Raw genomic sequence first — 7177 nt, 5'->3', positions numbered from 1 at the left:
GCAGAATCATCCATTTGAGCCCTTCCTTTTCAATTTTCTGGCCCACAGAAGCCAGGAAGAATAATAAAATGATTGTTTTCATTTTAAGCCACTAGGTTTGGGGGTAGGTTGTTATGGAGCAGTAATAACTGAACCCACTCCCATCACCACCCAATCCTATAGAAACCATTATAATATGGTATTTCCTTTTATTTTATGTGACCTTAGAGTTCTTTTGTGAGAATGCATCTTTTCATTTATGTATGATTATAACACTGGGAAATATATTTTGCTCTTTTTCCCCCCATTCAGCATTTTTTAAATGTCCCTGTCCCTGTGTCCATCAGTCTGTTGTTTCCAGCTGCTGTGTAGTATGCCATAGGGTGTATCCACCGTATTTTCCTTACCTGTTTCTCTAGCAACAAACCGCTAGATTGCCTCCGATACCCACCTCGCAACCATCCTTGGATATGTCCTCTTATAGCCCTCAGTGGGAGTTTCTTGGGATAATACACCTGGAGTGGGAATGCTGGGACAGAGGGAATAGTATACTTCTAGCTACCCGCTGCTGGCCATCTCTCCAGGATCACTGCACCAGTCCACACTCTTACAACAGCAGGGACTTAGGCAAATAACAAGATGCTTGCTTGCTGGCCCAGCTTCTACATTTTATTTATAAAAACAACCAGTGAGTCTGCTAGAGGGTTTGTTTTCCATAAGCGCCCCAGATACAGTTCACTTCGTTTCACGAAGTTCTTTCTTCAGATGTCACCTCACCAGCCTATAGGGAAGGGCCACCAAAGTATCCCATCCCTCTCCTCCCTGTTATCCTGCCCTGCTCTTCTTCATAGGTATTATAATTCGCCATTTGTCTGTGTGTGTATTTAGTGTGTATCCCTCTCCACACAAGAATGATGTTAGGTGCACAGTAGGTGACCAGTGAAGAATTGTTATGAATGAATTACTCAGGGCCTGGTTTAACCGGGTGCCATTCTGAAGCAGTCCACATCTCCTCACCTACCCGTCCTCACTTAGTGAGGAAGGAGTCTTGAGATGTACTGAGCCTCCCTGATCTCTCCCTGCCTACAGTTTGGGCTCAACATGCACAAGGGTGAAGGGTATTAGGACATTCTATTCACTTGTAGGACTATCTTGTCAGGGCAGAATTTTGGTTCTATCAGTGTTTCAGGACCACTGGTGTCCTAAGTGTTTGTAATGAGGTCACCATTTCTTGTTAAATGAATGAATAGAATCATTAGACCCTAGTTTAGTGTTATGTAATGATCCTAAGACAAATAAAGAATGGTAAAAAACGAATTCGGTAAAAAACGAATTTGATAAAAAGTACTTGAATAAATAATATAGCACTAAACTGTCTGTTACTAAAGCCACTAGCTATATGTGGCAAATTACACTTAATTACAGTATAAAATTCAGTTCCTTAGTCACGCTAGCCATACTTGAAGTGCTCAGTAGCCATATGTGCAGTTATAGCTAGCGTGCTGTGCAGATGTAGACCTTCCCATCATCAGAGAAAGTACTACCGGGTAGTGCTGTGTAAAAAACTCAACTCTCTAGGGGGGCATGTTCTGAAAATGCAAACCTGCTTTTAGAGGTTTTGATGGAATCTCTTCTGCCTCCTTCAAGATCAAAAGAGTCAGAGTTCTGTTCTGTTATTAAAAATAGCTACTTCTGTTATTTTTTGCCTACTTTAGATTTGGGAAGACAGATGTCTTCTTTCCTACTGACTTATGTTGGGGGACACCTGCAGCCTACCTGCTGTGTGTGCACAGCTCCACGTAGTTGCACTGAACATACGTTGTTAGCACCAAAGTCACACTGAGATAAAATTTATTGTCATAGAATGAACATTTTTTTTTCGGAATGAACAAATCTGTTTTACTTTTCACATGCCATGTTCGTTGTCCCTCTTTTGGGAGCCTGGATGAAAAGTTGGAAAGTTGCTTTTTTCCCTTTTGTTGTCATTAATTCTTCAAATTCCAAAGTTGTATATTTAAGAGTAGATTTAGTAAGTTGTTGCTAGCAACTGCTGCAATTTTAAAATTATAAAATAAGAATTAGGGGGAAAATCAATTGTTATAAATTTATTTGGGACATTTATTGCCACCACATTGGAAGCCTTTGAAAATTCAAACAGAAACCAATACACTTCCATCTTTTTTACTTTCGATAAATAATATCTTTGTGTATATGTATATATAGATAGATATACTTAATCAATAAGTCATTTAGCAGGGTTTTTACATTTTATACTGCATTCATCCAAAACAGCTCTTTCCAGATCGATAGGATGCAAATGAGGTAAGAATTAAGGCAAACCCAAAAGGCATGCAAATGTAGTACATTTATATTCACTGATAATACAAGCTTCTGTGGTGTGTGGACCAGACACAGGAGCCAAGGGTCCCTCTGTGTCTGTCCAATAGTATTTTACAGGAGGGTAGTGACATAGCTTATAATTAAGTTACATTACCATGGGGGTCTCAGTGCTACTAACATTATGTAATCAAGGAGATACGAGCATTAGCAAAACATGAACAAGAAGTCATATAACTCTTTGCAGCACATTTCTGCCCAGGCTTTGGAGGAAGAGGGATTTTTATGAAATGATATTACACATATCACATTGTGGCAGGTTGTTTGTTTTGTTTTATATATGCTTTTAAAATTCATTAGCAAATGACATTCTCATGCACACGAGTGTTTCAAACACAAGAAGCAAGTCCATTTATAGGTAGTCCAAGCAATATTTGTGTGTGTGTGTGTGTGTGTGTGTGTGTGTGTGTGTGTGTGTGTGAATAGCTGCAGACTGAATGGAACATTGAGACTTTTGTGCAGTCCATAGCATTGACATCAGCTCATTTCTGGATGTCGCACTGCAGAAGTAATACAATGGAAGGGTCGCTCTTTGCAGCTTCTTTGAATTCATCCAGTGTAATCTGGTCATCTTTGTTCTTATCCATCTTGCTGAAAATCTTGTCTACTCGCTGCTCAGGCGTCAGGCCATCCTCATTCATTTTCATCATGATCACAGTGCCTACCATTTTGTAGATAGCCTTGGGGAAAAAAGCATTGTAGGTGATATTACCAGAAACCCAGGAGGACAGAGAGCTCTTCTTGCCTCCCTTTCACCTGACGGGATCCCACCCATCCTCCAAGCCTCAGCTTCCCTTTCCCCAGAGGAGTTTCACTCCTTGTGCTGCAAGTTTCTGTGACAACCCATACCATTTCCCCCAACAGAATACATCTCACCTTTATTAAAATAACTGCTTTGTCTTCCCCACTAAAGAGTATGTTCTATGGAGCTAGGAAGCACGTGCTCCTGTAAGTCCAGGGCTTGGTATGATGCCTGGCACATCACAGGTCTCAATAAATACTGATCAAATGAAAAAGCTTTAGCTGCTGGAGCGTGGGATGTGGGGCAAGGGGCAGTAGGAGGGAGGGCCAGGTGAAGTGTTGAAAGATGAAGCTGGAGAGAGGGAAATGAGAAGCAGATCACCGAGTTTTCCTAGGATAAGATAAAGAATTTAACTTTATTTCAAATAAGTCCTTAAATGCTATTGAATAAGAGATGACATAATCAAATATGGGTGAGCCTTGTGACCAACTGGATATAGAAGAATTTGGGGTGGCTTCCAGGTTTTTGGCTGGAGGAAGTGGTTAGAAAGGGTGGCTCAATGGTGAGATTAGAAATAATGGATTAGGAATAGGTTCAGGGAGGAACATGATGGGCTCAGTTTTAAACATTCTGCATCTAGGTGCAGGAAACAGTCAAAAAGCACTAGCCTTGGGGATTTAGGAAAAGAAGAATTGTGGGGCCAACTGATTAGAAACTTAGAATCTAGTAAGACAACCAAGCCAGTTGTACCATTAAAATTGAACTCTGCAAGAAGTTAGTTTAGGGAGAGTTGTGGAGCAGGGACTCTGTTTATAAGTTAAAGAATAGAGTGAGAAGATTTCAATTATCCAGACCAACTAACTGTATACAATTAATTCTTGATATGAAATTTCCAAAGTATAAATTATTTCCTTTCTTAGAAAAGTGCTTTAAAAATAAATGCCCATCTATACAAAGACTTGCATGAGAACATTCATAGCAGTATTATTAATAGCCAAAATGTGGAAATGACACAAGTGCTCATCAACTGTAAACAAATAGGATACAGCTATACGGTAAAAAAATATATACTATTTTAGCAACAAAAGAGAATGAATATGCTACAGCATGGATAAATCTCAAAAATATAAAGAAGCCAGACATGTAAGGCCACATGTTATGTGATTCCATTTGTGTCAAATGCCCAGAAAGGGAGCCAAATCCATGGAGACACAGTGATGTGTTGGTTGCCTGAGCCTGGGGTGGGAGCGGGCCTTTGGGCATGAGGGATCTAACTGGGGGAATAAAAATGTTTTAAATTTACATTATGGTGATGGTTGCATATCTCTGTACACTTAGTAAAAATCATTTAATTTGTACACTTAACATGGGTGAATTTATGGTCTGTAAGTTATAACTCATAAAGTTGTTTTTAGAAATGCCAATCAGAGCAAACCACTAACTAGAAAGTGCTTTATTTAACAAGTTAAAATGTCCACTGAGATAAAATATTTTGTGCGTATTTACTTTTGTAGCTAGATGGTATTGATGTATCATGGAACACTTTAAGAAAGTTGTCTCTAAAAGAGGCAGACTTTCCGAAATTTCATTTTGTGGATAATTGGTAGACAAGGTCCTGATTAGTCTAGTAGCCAGAGTGGTGCACAAAGGAAAAGCACGGAATGTGTACTGTCTGGAATTTAAAAAGAGACAAATGGCCCGTACACATGTAAGCTGCCACTCTCACCCTGGCCTTTAAAAGGCGAAATCAAAAGCCCTTACATGAGGCAGTGGGTATGAAGGCAGCAAAACAAGTGCACTATTAATAAAGTCAGGGTAATAAGAAATGTAAACACAAGAAGTCCCTCCTGGACCTCAGGAAGCAACTCTGAAAATGGCAGGATCTCATTAATCGTATCCATGACACAGCCCTACAATTGGGACTGTGAACACGACAACCAAGAAGGGCCGTTTCAGATGCAGACTTTTACATATCACAAAGGCCGGGCATGCCAGACTCGGAACTCCGTGTGAAACTGCCCCTGTGGTCCCCAGCCCTGATGGACCTGTACTGACTTGCCTTTCACTGTAAACTAGAAAACTGGATAAAAATAAAAGAAATAGCTGTTTTCAGACTTTACAACTGACAGTGCAAGACTGTAATTCCTAAGAGGTGGGAAACAAAGTAGATGAACCCTATGATCTCAGCCCAGAGTCCTTCCTGGACCGCAGCACAAGGAGAAGGGTCCCAAGCAGGGCTGACTCACCAACTGGAGGAGACAACAATTGGAGGAGGAAGGTGAAGATAGCCAGAAATTTCGGGGCAGAGGACCAGAGAGGGAGCCAGGCAGAAAGAAAGCCTCAGAAATCTGCCTAGGAGGACTCCTCAATGTTTATCTGGAAACTAGGCTGCACACAGAGGATAAAAGTTCACAAAGAAGTTTCTGAACAATAAGCTGAACAACTCTTGGTGCTCACACAGGCTTGCAGAGCATTCTAGTTCTTAATGCAAAGAGCTTGCTAAATACCTTGGCATTCAGGAAGCCTGTTGTCCATTCTTCTTCTTTTTAAAGCAAAGCTTCTGGCAAGAGTTTTCTGCAGTCACTGTCTTTACTTCTTCCTCTCCCATTCTCCTGGGCTGCTCTATTTAGGATTTTGCCACCAACTCCTCTGAAACTATTCTCAGCTGGTTCACCTATGGCCTCCAGGTTTCCAATTCCAATTGTCAGTGATTACTTTTCTCCTTTTACTTCTTTTATCAATAGCATTTGACATGATTGCACATTCCATTCCTTCCCCACAAAACAGTGTGTTTCCCTTCCAGGACTTCTCACTTTTCCTTTTTTACTTTGACCTTTCTGGCAATTCTTTCTCCATCTCCTTTACTGATTGTGCCTCATGTTCCTCACCTCTAAACATCAGGTTGCCCCAGGACCTCAGTCCTCTGGAAACCTCTTTTCTATTTATATTCTCTGTCTAGTTATACTCTGATATGTCCTCTTTCACTTAAATACCTGAATAAGTATCACAACACATGGGGCTGGTTCCCACCAGCCAGAGTAGAGAAACCTCACTAAATGTATGAGAAAATCAGTAAGAACCCCAAAATGGTCACAAATTGGGCACTGGGCTAACTTACTACAGAAAACCTACTCTCCATCTGCTCTAAAAGCTTAAAATTATAAAACTGCCTCGAAAAGATCACGCTAATTTACATATAACTTACCTGCCTGTCAAAACTAATCTCAGCACTCTATAAATGAAGACAACAAAATACAGACACTCTAATGCAACATTCATAATGTCCAGGAACCAATAAAAATTATTACACGTGTCACGAAGCAGGAAAATGTGACCCATAATCAGGTGAGAAATCAATCCATAAAAGCTCTGAATAGAAGAAAGGAAGAGCTAGAAGTGATGGGGAGAAACGTGGAAGAACTAAGAGAAAGAAAAGCAGCCGCTGACAGCCAGGAAATGGCCCGGACTGCCCACCGGGCCTTGGTGCTGCCGGGAGCTGGCCCAGCCCTCACAGTCAGGTCTCACACCAAACATAACCAATGTCACAAAATGCCAGTGACCATGATGGAGCAAGGCAAAAACAAGACCACTCTGTCATTAAGTCTGAACACAGACACAAAACACCAAGCATCCCTGCTTCCTGCTATGGTGAGTGACCACTGCTTCTTCACCCGTTAAGAGCATTGCATTGGTCTGTGTGCCCTCCTCCTAGGTATCTAATCATAGAAGTGTCCCCACTCCCTGACAGTAACCAATCCACAGTAAACCTCTGCTTCTCCGAACCCTCCCCAAATCACCCTCCCAAAGTCCAGATCCTAGAAGTCCTTTCTAACACCCTCCTGCTGAATTGCCCCAAGATTCCCTCACTGCAAGCAGTAATAAAGTCAACTTGTGTAAGTGTGGGTATGTCCTTGGGGACTTTGGCTGAAGGGCATTGACAAGGATTAGAGAGAAAAGTTTTGGAGAGGAAGGGTTTTGGTGGCCAATGAGGGGAAATGACAAGAAGTCAAAGAGGAGAAAAAACTTGGAAAAACCTACTCTGTAGGGAGCTTATAGAGA

General features: G+C 41.2%; 1 protein-coding gene across 5 annotated transcripts in view; it reads right to left on the bottom strand.

Annotated features, from left to right (window-relative positions):
* Positions 1235 to 7177, bottom strand: part of VSNL1 (visinin like 1) — a 117047-nt gene continuing 111104 nt past the window's right edge. For all 5 annotated transcript variants that reach the window (NM_001366803.2, NM_001366804.2, NM_003385.5 and 2 more), the window contains one exon: positions 1235 to 3056. In NM_001366803.2, the coding sequence (NP_001353732.1) occupies positions 2859 to 3056 (198 nt within the window). In that variant the 3' untranslated portion in view covers positions 1235 to 2858. The remainder of the gene's footprint in view (positions 3057 to 7177) is intronic.

The sequence above is a fragment of the Homo sapiens genome, chromosome 2 (genome assembly GCF_000001405.40).
Source record: "Homo sapiens chromosome 2, GRCh38.p14 Primary Assembly".
NCBI lineage: Eukaryota > Metazoa > Chordata > Mammalia > Primates > Hominidae > Homo > Homo sapiens.
Note: the sequence above shows the minus strand (reverse complement) of the source record. Positions and strands in the feature narration are given on the sequence as shown.